This window comes from Homo sapiens, chromosome 7, assembly GCF_000001405.40.
Source record: "Homo sapiens chromosome 7, GRCh38.p14 Primary Assembly".
NCBI classification, from domain to species: domain Eukaryota; kingdom Metazoa; phylum Chordata; class Mammalia; order Primates; family Hominidae; genus Homo; species Homo sapiens.
The window spans coordinates 14,892,955-14,907,242 of record NC_000007.14 but is presented as its reverse complement, the minus strand read 5'-3'; the positions used below and the strand labels follow the sequence as shown (position 1 = coordinate 14,907,242).

Genomic DNA, 14,288 nt, shown 5'->3' with positions numbered 1-14,288 from the left:
AAAAGAGGAGAATTGGACCCAAAGAGATCTGAAGGCCTATCAAATCCCATATTTTATGATCATTATTCTTTTCAAGGGGAGTGCAATAATATCATGTCTTTTCTGAATCTCTCCTAGCCTTCCAGCTTATGTCCCACTGATTCATTGATTTAAAACCAGTGGAAAAGCTCCCGTATGGCACTTTGTTAAATTTAGGAAGTAGCTATCCTCTCATGATTAAAGCCAAAGTTGGTAAGGATTTAAATTATTGAGCAATTTATTTTTTTTGAAAGATAAAATACTTATATAAAAAATTTAAAGTGAGAATACCTTTATTTATGGGATTGTATATTCTTTAAAAGATAAAGCTATATCCTATTGAACTGTTTCTTTTCCCAATGCTTTGCAGATAATAGATGTTTAATAAATGTTTGTTGAAAAACATTAACATGACAAAGTAATTTTTAAGCACCAGTTTACATACAGTGCTGTGATTAAAGATGGATTTCTGGAGGCCGGGCACTGTGGCTCACGCCTGTAATCCCAGCACTTTGGGAGGCCAACGTGGGTGGATCACGAGGTCAGGAGTTCGAGACCAGCCTGACCAACATGGTGAAACCCTGTCTCCACTAAAATACAAAAATTAGCTGGGCATGGTGGCATGCGCCTGTAATCCCAGTTATTTGGGAGGCTGAGGCAGGAGAATCGCTAGAACCCGGGAGGCAGAGGTTGCAGTGAGCCGAGATCACATCATTGCACTCCAGCCTGGGCAATAGAGCGAGACTCCATCTCAAAAAAAAAAAAAAAAAAAAAAAAGACAGAAAAAAGAAAAAAGATAGATTTCTATCTAATGTCAATAACTTCTGATACTTCACAGTTTAAGTGCTGTCTCTCATCATTTATTTTGTTTGTTTAAGAATTAATTTATTAAGAGTGATGAAAGGTAAATGAAAGTTGTCTTGCTTGTAATCCTTGATATAAGGCCAACATTTTAGGAACAAGCACACATAAATGTGTAGCAATCTGTTTTTGTTTTTGTTTTTTTTTTAAGGCTCTAGTCCAGTAATCACAAGACTAGGTAGGGATTTAGAAGTCAAAAGGGGAGTAGAGAGAGAGCTGTGAATTTCTTAGGGATTAAATAGGACCCTGAAAGCCCCCTCAGGAAATTAGATTCTAGATAACTTTATTGATTGAGTTTGTATAGTAGAAAATTCATTTTGGAGGAATCTTAAGGACAGGCATTATTGTGCAGTTCTGTGGAGCCTGTGAGTGATAGATATGAAAGGACACTTAGAGACCCTGAGAAGTGAGTCACATCCTTAAAGTGCCAGTTATTTAGCAGCAGAAAAAAGACGAAAAGAATTCAAACACCCTTATTTCCAGCTCACTTATCTTCCCAATGCCCTGCACTCACAGATTAATTCATTCACTCACGTATTCAAACGTTATTTTACTGTGCACATACCACTTTCTAAGCACTTTGGTAGATGCTAGAGACGCATGAATGAACTAAGCAAACATGGCTTGCTTTTGCTGTTGTACAGTTTGCAAACTTTTGGGTTCTCTTCAGTAAATGACTATCATTAAATTACAAAATTTAGTTTGGGAATACTTGTTTTGATGATGAAGGAGATGTAGATGAAAATTAATATGATTCGTTTCTATATATTTTCACAAATTGATGATTATGTTGAGGAATGAGTATAGAGCAAGTTCATTTTTCTCTTATTTTTTAGATTGATGAATGATAAACAGATTCCCATGAAGTTTCTGAAAATCTAGTGATGGGAGCAGAGAAGCATCTTGGAGAAATGGGCACAGTGTTGTAAGGGAGTGATTTGTAAGTTTTACCACAAAATGGAAAATCTTGAGTTATGAGTCAGGAATAAGATTCAATCACCAATCCTTAACTGAAAATTTTCTTCCTCCATTACCAAACCTTGTAGTTTTAAGAGAGTGGTTTTTTCTTAAAGTGAATCTTAGTAATGCTATAAGCTGTTAAAAAAAAAAAAAAAAAAACTAACAAGATGGATGTTAAATACTCATTACCAATTATTTTAACATCTTGTAGTTCTTCCAGCTCTACCCAGACCAGATGTTTAGACTCCTTCTTATTTATAATGAAGATAGCTAATAAATTATGTCTCTCAATAATGTTTAGAGTGTTAGTGCTCTTCCTAAATATGATTTAATTTCAAAATGGGAGTAAAGGTAAAACAAAAAACAATAACCAAAAAGATCAAAAAGAAAACCCTGCTAAACTACAAATGGCAAGATCCTGCTAGTTATAGTAAGGGATGAATTTGTTGAGCAGGGCAAGTTTAAAATCATACCATTTGTGGATAAAGTTGGCCTTTTGTATCAAAATGTATTTCTATGTGCTAGAGACTTCTTGTGCCTACTTCCTTACACTGCAGTGTACACAAGTATAAAAAAGGTACTCTTCAGACTGTTAATAATATTAATTGTGTGATACAATAATTATTTAATGGACAGACAACAAATGAAGAGAAAAATAGCTATTTGGCATCATGTTTAATTAGAATTTTGACGTTAAAAAATTCTGGATGCTATTCGCATTTAAGGTATTATATGATTTTTAAAACAAAATATTAGCCTCTGATAAAATCTGTTAAAATTGAAGTTAGGCTGGCTTTGGCAAATTGATATTTGTTGGATAATTGATAAATGCTTTGCTCATTAACTGGTCTTTGTTTAGCTAAAGGCAGTATAAACACATCAGGGAAAGATGTATTATTTAATCCTTTTGGGTTATTTTCTTCCTTCTGGGTCTTTTCTTATATTTTCTTTCTTCCGTGTTCCCCCTCTGTTTAATTTAACCCTGATTAACCCTGATTACACAAGCCCTAACAACTGGGAAAAAATATGGCCAATATGAAAAGTACTCAGAGGCAGAAATAATTAAAGGCGTGCATTACAAATAAAATCAAAAGGAATTAAGTTTATTTTTAGCTCAGACAACTGGAGGCTGAAAGTGGATTAAAAGTACTATTCAATTAAGTGATGTGTGTGTGTGTGTGTGTATTTAGGAGGGGTTGTTCATGATTACTCAATCTACAGAACAAGAAAGTGAAGACAGACTATTACTAGAGCAAATGTTACTAGTAATTAAGAAGTATTCTATTCTTTGGGGGATTTGAGAACGTCTTCCATTTCTAAGTTCTGCCGAATGTCATATTTTTTATGAGAATATGTTGGAGATTAATGAGAGCAGCCAATAAGGAGAGCAAATGAAAGTTAATAGAAGACAGAATCAAGTTGGTTTTACCAGAGTCTGTAGCTGACAGAGAGATGTTAATGCATTGAAATCATTGAGAATATTATATAGATAAGTTAAGAGCAACCACGGGACTTCTATGTCAAGATACCCCGTGTATAAGCTGGTAAGCACACTGCTTAATAACTGTCTGGTTTTGTACACAGTCCACAAAAATCTTGATTATTGACTTACTTACATTTTTCTTACCCTAATACACTATTTTACACACGTGCCTCAAAATTGTTATTTTTATCTGTGCCCTGATTGGTTACACATACATAGAGTTTCTCCCAATATTTAACTGCCTTTCTACTTCATCCATCCTCCAGTCACCTGCTCCGAGGTTACCAAGCCGGAATGCAGCAAGAGCGTCTGCAGCTGCTACAATTGGTAGAAGTGGCTTCGGCAGATGGTTGCTGAACAATGACCCACCAAGGACTACAGTTGTAGAAGGGAGAGGGGAGACGGGTATCATATTTCCTCCCTGAGATGTATAGTGAGTGGTAGTAATTGCAGTGAATCCAGCTCACTGTCTCAACAGCCTCTCACCTGCACCGTCTCCTCCCCTGTCTTATAACTGGACCAGCAGTTAAACAGCTGTATAGCCTTGTCTCCCTGTCTCATTTTCCCCTGAGCTCCATCAGCAAGAGTAGCAATAGCAGCTGGAGAAGCGGCAGCCAGAGATAGGCAGGGCTGGTGCTTGCAGCCGCGCAAATCGCCTCCTCCTCAACACACACACACACACACACACACACACACACACACACACACTGCACAGACTTCCAATATCAACGCGTCTTGACATAAATCAAGGACTAAGAGAGACTGAAGAAGAGCGTTAGTCATGGACAACAGGTATTTCATCTCTGACAAATTGTTTCCTTCAGCTGCTTACTGGTTTGGATGATAAAATAATCATTTGTGATAGCTAGCTTGAGTGGGAGTCTGGAGGACTGGGGGTGGACGCGATAGAGGAGCGGGGATGAAGTGGGAGGAGTGAGAGGTGGGGAAGGGGGACGCCAAAGATGACTTTCAGGCTCCGGAAACCTACGTCTTTCAGCCTCCGCTGTTTTTTAGTTGCAAATGATCAGAGACGGGTGAACTGCAGGCAGCCTGTGTTGCTGCCTGGAAGTAGATTTCCATCTTTCAGACACTAGTTCCAATGGGCCGGGTGTTCTGGAAGGGGGTGGCAGTGGGGAGGAGGATGCTGTGAGCAGAGTTCTTGAAGCTCCACTCCTCTGGGGAAGCCGAGCTGTGTGGGAGCCTTCTTACTGTGCCGGGAGCGTGTGAATTGGAAAGGATCCTGAGAACTGGCTAGTCCCAGTTCCTCTCCGGAAAAGCAGTGGCTCTCGCTTCAGAGATGCGCTCAGCTTTCGCCTGCATCACACTGCAGTAAGTTAAACTGGACATGGTTGGCAAATTGAGTGGCTTCTGGGTGTGTGGTGCGGGGGAAGGGAAGCTGGGAAGAAATGGGGAGGAAAGTTAGAGAAGCATAGCTTTGAATTCTCCATGAAATGTTAAATCGGTTCGTCTCCCTGACTCCTGTCCTAGTTATGCTATAGTAGGGGTGCTCTGTGATTTGCAGGCGGATGCCGCTTGTGTATTAGCTATGCAGAAAGTGCCCTGTCCATTGTGATTTTGGGCAACATAACTGATAAATGTTTTCTAAATTTAATTCCAAGAGTGGTCTCCTGAAAGTTACCAATGAGATAGCAGCTTGTCTTTTCAAAATGTAATTCATAAAGAGGCTGGCTTGGACTTTCAAATGCCCTAGTTAATTGTTACAAGTTCCAGTCCAGATTTATTCCTAATCTGTGAACTAAACAAGCAAGCAAGCAAACAAAAGTCTTCGATTTACCTTATTAAATTAAAATAAAACGTGAAGTAGGTCTCTAGATAACTGCTAGGCAACAGCCTAGGCCACACTGATGATATGATAAACATTCAAATACTCTTCAGTGGGTGCCACATGGAGGGTCCCCTCAGTTTCTTCCTGCTGCAATAATCTCCTCCACTTGCTGAACAGTCTCTTTCTTGTGATTTTAAAGTGGCGATTTTTACATAGATGGCTCTATACTTAGAAACCAAGCAGCATTGTGTTCACTGGCAGAAAATGAAGGCTTAAAACTTTTATAAAACAACTTCAACTGGTTGCTCAAATTGCAGATAACCAACTCTTTTAAAAACAGGTCAGCAAGGACCAGTCCATTGTAAAGCAAATGACCAAATAAACATGAATGCAAGCAGAATACTGAAGGTCTTTTCTAGAAAATAAATCAGAAATAATTAATGTTAAAAATGTTGGGGTACCTAACCAGGTCCTCTTGCATTGACCAGATTTTTACAGTGGTGGTGGGGCAGTGGGGGGTGGGGGGGGGTGGAAATCCCTCAAACAGAAAGCATATATTACACAAAAATGTTAGACTTAGTTGGAGGATCATTGGAGAAAACACTGTATTAGTACATTTTTCTCCAAGAAAAATTATTGACAAAACAGAAATTACCTAAAAGAGAATGTAAGATTTTAATCTGGATACGTCCATAGGCTAGCATATATTCCATAGGAGAAGAAGCTTCAAAATTTGTGAAATAACAATTGTGAAAAACAAAGTAATTCTGAAATCCTCTGTCTTTAGAAAATGGGTAACCAAGGACTACTCTTATCCTATAATTTCAGTTTTAAATTGTGCTACTCTTTCTCTAATCCACCAAATCTTCATGCTTTTACCAAAAATAAAACACGTCAAGAATGTCATTGGAATAGTCTTGGCTAATTTTCTACTCATCACGGGGATCTCCAGGTATAAAGGCTTACTTAATATTTTTTGGCATTGTTGGAGTGCCCAATTTGTTATAGGCGATCCATGCCACACACATACATAGTATCCCTGTGCATAAAGTCTACATGTGACCTTGTGAATCACTGAGTAAAATATAATGCAGGGAATATATTTGCTACAATAGTGCATACATGAGGGTGGTTAAAAATTTTTGACAGCAATGAGAAAGAAAACGAAAAGTCTATATGAAGAATAGAAGAATATGGTTGGAGCAAATTTGCAAGCAGTTCCCTAATACTCTAGAGTCAACTATTATTACCTGAAATCTTTATGTAGCTAAAGAGGAAGAAAATTAGGTTAAGAGCACTGATAAAAATTTGACAAAATTTTTTTAAATCTAGAAACTTATGTAGTTGGAGTTGAGCGGTGGCAATGCCTTTGCTTCATACTTTCTTGTCCTACTGGTAAGCAAAGCTCAAGTTATGACTGGGAAGATTATAAAAATCATTTGTGTAATAAAACAATTATTTAAATTGTTTTAACAATTTAAAACCATTGGTAAGTTTTGCTGGGATAGTGTCTGAACTAGTATCCTATGACTGATGCTTTTTCTTGCACACTATTGAAAGAACGGAGAGTTGTAGTCAGACAAGCCAGATGAAGATAGCTGCTGATCGCGAAATCTAATTCTGCCTACTGATAACGACTATGATGTGATCTATAGGCTTGAAATGACATTTCAAGATGATCCTCTCCTGGATGTTTCTTCTGGCTGCCTTCAGGAACAGAGCTGTATTTATATATGCACAATACTGTTGCAGTATTCTCTAAAGAGTAGTACCTCTAGCCGAGGAGCACTTGCCCAGAGCAAACTCCAGGAAAAATAGTGAAGAAGCCTATTCCTGTTGCCTCTCTTCCAGCAATAGCATTCTCTTTCTCTTGTAAAACACCAACGCAAATTCTGATCAAGTGAGTCACATATGTTATGTCCCAATACCATAGTCAATATCTTGGGTATTTACTATGAAGTAGGTTCAACTACTTGATAGCCCTGGATTATTTTCTCATGTGCTTTGTTCGTCACACAACGAATGAGTAGTAGTGGGCAGTTATTTTGAGTGCAGCAGTTGCACATACTGTGTCAAGAGCTTTACATATGCTCTCTCATTTACATATGCCCCTCACAGGAGGGAGACGGCATTTTCTCCCCTTTAGAAAAAACTCAAACTCAGGGGGAATAAACAAATTTCTGAAAGCAACGTATTTAGTGAATGCTGGGTTAGAATTTACCACTCGATGTGACTAACTCTAATTCTTAACTGCTTTGCTACTTAAAAAAAATTAAAATGGTACTCTACTATGGATCAGGGTGGGGTTGAGCATATTATTTTGTGGATGCCGTGGGTGGATAGTGCTTGAGAGATCTTCCTTCTCTGATGATACCCAAAATTGGATCCACCTAAACTGGAATCCACCTGCATTGACCCCAGATCCAAAGTTGGCACACTCACGATTCCAATTTCAGGCTTTGCTTTGGCTACCCAAACTCTGAAAATGAACATGGGGACATTTCCAGGAAGGAAATGGAAGATAATGCAGTTAATATGAGAGGAGAAAAGTTGGAAGATCTAAACACAGAGAGGTATAAAAAGAAAATAAGGGAATCATATAGTGGAAGGCTGGTCCAAAAATATGTCCACACTCTTTGTCCTGAGGGACACTAAATAACAAACTCTTTGGGGTGTGTGTGTAGGGTAGAGATCTTTAGTCACAGATAAAGTGCAGACTCAAAACATCTCTTTAAATAGCTGTAAAGTCTTATTATAAAAATTAGATTATGCTAGTCATCAGATAATCTCCTTTACATACTCTTTTTAAAAGTGGAAAAACAATGATTCAAAGACAAGTGGCGGAGAAAGGCCAGATGCTGACTGAAGAGGTAAAAGAGTAGTTGGACATATCGCTGATTCTTGCACAATCACTTTCTGAAAATTTGCCAGGAAGCAAAAGCCATCTTTAACTGGTGAGGATAAAAACAAAATGGTTCATTTAGGTAAAATGTGAAGTGTTACAGAGACTAACATGATTACTGTCACTTGTCTTATCACAGAAGACAAACACTAACAAAGAATAAAGTGAAAATGTTATGGGCGTAGAGCCAAACAATATTTTAAGATTGGTCTTTCTCAGCATGCTAAATTTAAACAGCCGAAATTCTTTTTTAAGGATATTCTGAGTCAACAATTTGAAATGAAGGATTTGCCTTTTAACAGGGAATTTGTATTGCATTGTAAACTTGAAACACAATGTCCCCAACTCAGTTATTTTTGATTGGCAATATGCCGATCACTATAGATTCAAGGAGCACAAAAGCTGTTACCTTCAAAATCAGAGAATAAATGGACTCGCTCCATAAGCGAACTGGATGCTCCTGAGCTATTGTCAGATGTGTATGTGGTGACAGAGCTTTGCAAATACATTCACATTGTTGGCCCTGATTCATTCTCTTGTCATTTGTGACACTTCAGGTTGGGGTTGGGAATAGAGTTAGTTTTCAGGATTGATTTTTGAATGTGGTGCTAAAATCAGCTCTCTTGCTCATTGGCTCCCTTCCTCTTCTAGTTTAAAAATAATGATAGTAACTTTCATTGAGTGCTTACTACATGGCATTTGCCTTTATAAATATCTTGCATATTTAATCTTGATCATACCCTTATGGGATAATTATTATCCTCATTCCCGTTTTATAAAAGAGCAAACTGAAGGACAACAGGGTTAAGTGACTTGTCACAGTTACAAACTGGTAGGAATAGAGCCGGGGTTTGAACCCAGGCAGTCTAGCTCTGGAGACCACTCTTCTAACCAAAAGGATCTAAATCCACTATTAACCACAACTGGCTTATTATAACCCTCCACAGTTCGCACAATGTTGCACCTTCTTTGTCTCTGCTTACATTTGGCTCTCTGTAATTTACTTTTGGACACCCAAACTCCTCTGCCCGCTCTCCATGCTAATGTGTTTCATTTGATAATGTGTTTTTGTCCTTTAATCTCCTACTCTAGTATCATGACACTTTGAGGTATCTAGTTGGATTCTACCACGGGCCCAACAGTCTTTCTATATGGTTCCACTGAAACTTGTGCTTGCCTTTATTATTGAATATGCCACAGAGAATTGAAATAATCTGTTTTTTACATTGAGGAAGGGGTTCAACCTTATTTATCTTTGGAAGTTTAGTGCTTAACACAGTGTCTAATATAATATTGGAGCTTAATAAACACTTCTTTTAATGAACTGTATTACAGGCTCTAATTCTATCCGCTGAAGGAATAGGTAGTCCCACTTCCACAATATTTTGCCTTTGCCCCCTGCCCACCAAAGACTAGAGAACTGGCTTTCAAATAAAAACTATGATGTCTGAGAGCAAGTGTGTATTTTAATAAGTAGAAGTCATGATTAGTATAAAATTACTCAGAACACATTTATTACCTTCTGTGGTGTTACATATTTAGAATACGTGGGGCAATATTTTGGAATATGATGGATAAAATATTTATTTCCATATCACAAAATTAAAATTTTTACTGATACCTATTTTCTGGTTTCAGGTTATTAACATAGATTTAGGGAGGGAAAAAAACCCAAATAGTAGAATAAGTGGTTCATCAAAGATGTTTTGCTCTTGTGGGACAATAGTGTGAAGTTGTGAAAAGGTGATTTTTAATTGTTTCTTAAACTCTTATTTCCCTTTAGAAAAAACACACTGATTTTAATTCAATCATAGCTCATAAATAGTGAATCATATCTGCAAGCAGACATTCAAGACTTCACTACCACTAGAGAAGAGTAAAGTGATGGTTGATGGTGGGAAATTCAATCCAGAAACCCTGTCCTACAAATTATCAGGTTATGTGATAATTAAAATTCTAATTTTAAATTCTAATTTCAAATTCCATTTTTATACATTTATTTCATTTAGTATTCAAATATTGTATCTATGTGAACTGTATAACACGTAGGGCTTTCCAAATACAATTTTTTTTAAAGTACCATCTTAGGTCAAACTATCCTATTTTAGTCTTCTTTCTAATCCACATGAATCAGTTATCAAATAATCAGGGGAAGGACAGATGGGATGAGAAATGCGCAGCTATTTAAAATGTCTTTAGAGTTCCATCAATAGAGTAATCTCGGAATGAGTTTCCCCCAGTGAGGCAGCTGGGCCATGCTTTATAATACACTTTCTTTTAGAATCCCAAGTTGTGTATTTTGTTCTGATTGTTCATAATGAGATGGAATTGTGAATAAGGTTATGGAGAAGTCAACTCTATATATAATTTCTCAATATGAAAAGAAGTTTTATTGAGTTTCATCATTTTCTTAGGTTTGATGATATAGGACTTGAAACTTACTTTCTGCGTTCAAACTGTCTGGATGTAAAATCCTTACTATTTGGATGAATTTAAGCAAGTAACTTAAATTCTATGCTTTAGACTTCTCCTTGTAAAACAGGAATAATGAAAATACAAGCCATTTCATAAAATTAAATGACGTAATCATGAATGTAAGGGGCTTAAACAGAATACACATAATAAACATTAAAAAATATTAGCTATTATTTCCAACTTACTTGGAATATTGTCTCAGAGAAAAAGTATCAGTAGTAAAGAAAATGTTCTAAATGAAATCTAAATCTAAAAATATTCCTTAGTTTTATATTAATAAAATATTTATTGAGGCTACAAAATTTATTAAATATTATTATAAACACTTTGTAAGATTTCATTACTTACCGTTGTGCCCCAAATATTCTTATTAAAATATAAAAAGAGGTAACTATTAACATAGATAAGTTAAACAACACACATAAACTACCCAGAAGAACATCTGGCATGCAATTAATCCTCAGAAATTTTAACTCCCTTTCCCTTACCTAAAATGATGAGGAAAGGTCTTTCATTCTTTCTCCTCTGATCTTCTGAAAACATAGTCATAGCTATCATCCTTTAATATACAAAAGGATATTCTGTTTTGCTTTATATTGGCTACTCTGCTATTTGTACCTAAGCATGTTGGGGAAATATGATCTCTGATGTGAGGAAACCTATTAGTTTCTAGATCAAACTCCCTTTGGATTATATGAACTGGAAAGGAAGAAGAAACAGAGGTGCTATAGAAAAGCATGACAAGATCCTTGACCTGAAAACAAAACTTCACGCAGAAAAGATGAGTTTGTAGTTTATTCAGTAACTTGTTTTGCTGAGACAGAAAATATAAGGAAGTGTTTCTTGTTTGGCTCTTGACCAATGAATCTGTTTGTTGGTTCCTTAATGAAAAGAAATAAGGGCTGGAGAATTCTCACTTGTCTTGCCTTCCCTAGTGTGTATGGAGATTGTCAGTCATACTCAGCTAGTTCTGGGAAGTCTAAGATTCATATAGAGATATGAAAACTATCCCTTAGGAGACAGAAGTACTTACTTATACCACGGTCCTGTATCCTATTCATCCTTTAGTCATTGACGGGCTACTCTGTGTCAAGCATTCTGCCAGGATCGGTGAAAGAAGAGGAATGGATGGAAAAGTTCCTACAGTACTAAAGGTTGCACTTTGGTGAAAGACGGATATGAACAGACCTAAACAAGGAAACAAGTCCATGATTTGCTGTTGTAATAGTGCTGTGAAAGGAACAAAGAGCTGATGTTTAGATGAGCAGAAGATCCTATTTGCATAATAGGAATAATATAATTAATAGGAGAACAAGCTGGTTTCAGGAGGCATAAGGACCACTCCTGCCCCACCTGCAAACCTCCATTATGTTTTTTTCATTGTAGACCTGGTCTGTCTTGTTGACAGTGAGTATAACAGGTGGCAGTGAGTAGAAGAGGCTTATACACCTGAAGCAATTTTTAAGACTAAAACAGATGAACTCACAGTGAATCAGAATTTTAGAATTATTAAACAAAACATTTTCATTCAGTCAAAAACATAACTCCCACATTGCTTTTCCTGTTACCTGTATATTATAGGATTATTCTGCTTTGGACAGCTTTTAAAGATTAGAAAAATGCAAGTACTTAATGTTGCTTAGTAACTTCTCTTGCCTGTCATTTTGGGCTGCACATAAACAACCTGTAACTTCCTCACACTTGTCCCACATAGAAAAACAGCACAAAAAGCTGATGAGTCATTTTGCTATCATGTTGTTCTTCATGAGAATTCTGATCACTAGGAGGGGTGCTCTATTGTTATATAATGTTGTTTGTCATGATATATATTAGAAGTTTCTATTTGGCAAATAGAGATTTCTTCTTTGTTACACATTAAAGATAACATAGCATAAAAGCCATTTATGGGAGGACTGTTGTTTTGGGTGTCTGGCTTTGAATGTACTCTATCCAAACTACTAGACCACATATTCTGAAAGTGAAGTGATAAGGCTTTTGAGCTTCAAGTGGAAATTTTGTTTTAGAGCTATTAATGCTTTTTTTGTCCAAGGTACCTGCATAACTGCATGGTGGTACATTTGGTGCTTAGGCAACTATATTATCAAAAAGATAATATCAAAAGTGAAAGAGCACTTTCAGTAAACAAAACAAAACAATGGCTTGAATGTGGCTGTAATTATATTGCTATTCTTTATGGCTAGGCAATGTCCTGAATTAGTGACTTTGTAGAAAACAAAACACAAGAAGAATATGTTAGATTTGATGTATTTGTCAATATATAGCAATGCCATATTGATAAAAAATTTTTCTCCACTAAGAAGTTTCAAAGCTACATTAAAGAAATTAGCGCCTGTGTCTTATCACCATGGAGCATCCTGATCAAAGAGAAGGTGCCATCCTCTCTGGTTCTCTAATATGCGTTTTGCTGATCCTCATGAGTTAAAATTCAAACTATGTTAAGAGATAAAGAAAGACTGTTTGAGGAATGCTAATACGTATGTTAAAAGAGGAAAAGAGAAAGACATCTTCCTTATTTAAATATTAAATAAAGTTGAACAGTTTTTTATTTTAGGAACTTCTTATAGTCCTTCACATGAGAATCGGCATCTCTAAAACAGGATTTAGTATAAACTTCCCTGGCCTTATTTAACCACAGAATCCCTCCTTCTGGGAGCATCTATTAATATATATTTGGAAACCCTGGAGCACATTTTAGGAAGTACTGGTCTATTGGCATTTAAATGTTCACTTAAAATTTTTGAGCACCTACCATACATCAGAGTAGTAGGTTCTGGAAAAAAAAACTTATGAACAGAACCCGATTTTGACATTATGGAGATCCTATACTGGGATTTGGAGGAAGACACATGTATAAATTATAATACCATGGGCTATGTGCAGTTGTAGAAGTAGGCACATGTTGCTATAGGAGATGGGGAGAACAAGAGACTCAGGAATTAATCACAGATAATTTAGAATTTGAGTTAGATCTTGAGGGAAGAATAGAAATTTACTCAAGAGGGGAAAATAAAAGCAATTCTCAAGATATACCTAGAAATCATTATTCTTTTATCCTCCTGTGAAAACGAGTATTTCTTTCATTTATTCAAGTGTAATTCTAGAGTGAACAGTTGGCTATATGATTAAAGAGATAACGGCAACGAACTAGGAAAGAGATATAAAAATTTGGTGGCATAGATGGGGAATGAAGTCTTGGCATCGCTACAAATCCCTGGGAAGAGAACGTAGAGTGAAAAAGGAGGTAATTTTAGGAACAAATCTTGACATATCCTAATACTTTTAAAGTGCATTGGAATAGAAGAGTTTGCAAAGAATGAAAACAATTTGTTATAGAGGAAGAAAACAGCAACAGAAACCTGGAATGTTCTAAAGACCAGGAAAAAACGTCTTTTAAGGATGACAAAGTAATCATCACTGTTGGATGTTGCTGAGAGGTTAATTGAGATGAGAACTAAAACATACTCATTGGATTTGAACACTGGAAGATCACTGGTGATTATAGCTAAACATGTATTGCTGGAGTGATGAGGGGTGAAACCCAGACAAAAACTTGTTGAGTGAGTAGGAGTTCAGGAAATGGAGACAGAGTGACTCATTCAAAGAGTTAATCTATGAAGGTTTAAAGAAAGGTAGAGCTGTTTCTGGAGAATAATAGAAGTTTGAAACAGCTTTTATGTTTCTGAATTGGGAATTTTTGATTATGTTTAAATATCTACGAAAAGTGTATATACACATATATACATATATACATACATCTATATATGTATGTATATATACACACA

General features: G+C 36.4%; 1 protein-coding gene across 24 annotated transcripts in view; it reads left to right on the top strand.

Moving 5' to 3' along the window:
* DGKB (diacylglycerol kinase beta) overlaps nucleotides 1–14,288 on the top strand; it is an 829,810-nt gene that overhangs the window by 67,616 nt on the left and 747,906 nt on the right. For 12 of the 24 annotated variants that reach the window (XR_001744571.2, NM_001350724.2, NM_001350723.2 and 9 more), the window contains exon 1: nucleotides 4,492–4,651. The exons of 5 other annotated variants lie outside the window; for them this stretch is intronic. The gene's annotated coding sequence lies outside the window, so the exon portion shown is untranslated. Of the gene's footprint in view, nucleotides 1–3,586; nucleotides 4,115–4,491; nucleotides 4,652–14,288 lie in introns of those variants that run through there. 7 more of the 24 variants (NM_001350720.1, NM_001350712.1, NM_001350715.1 and 4 more) reach the window with 1 other exon arrangement.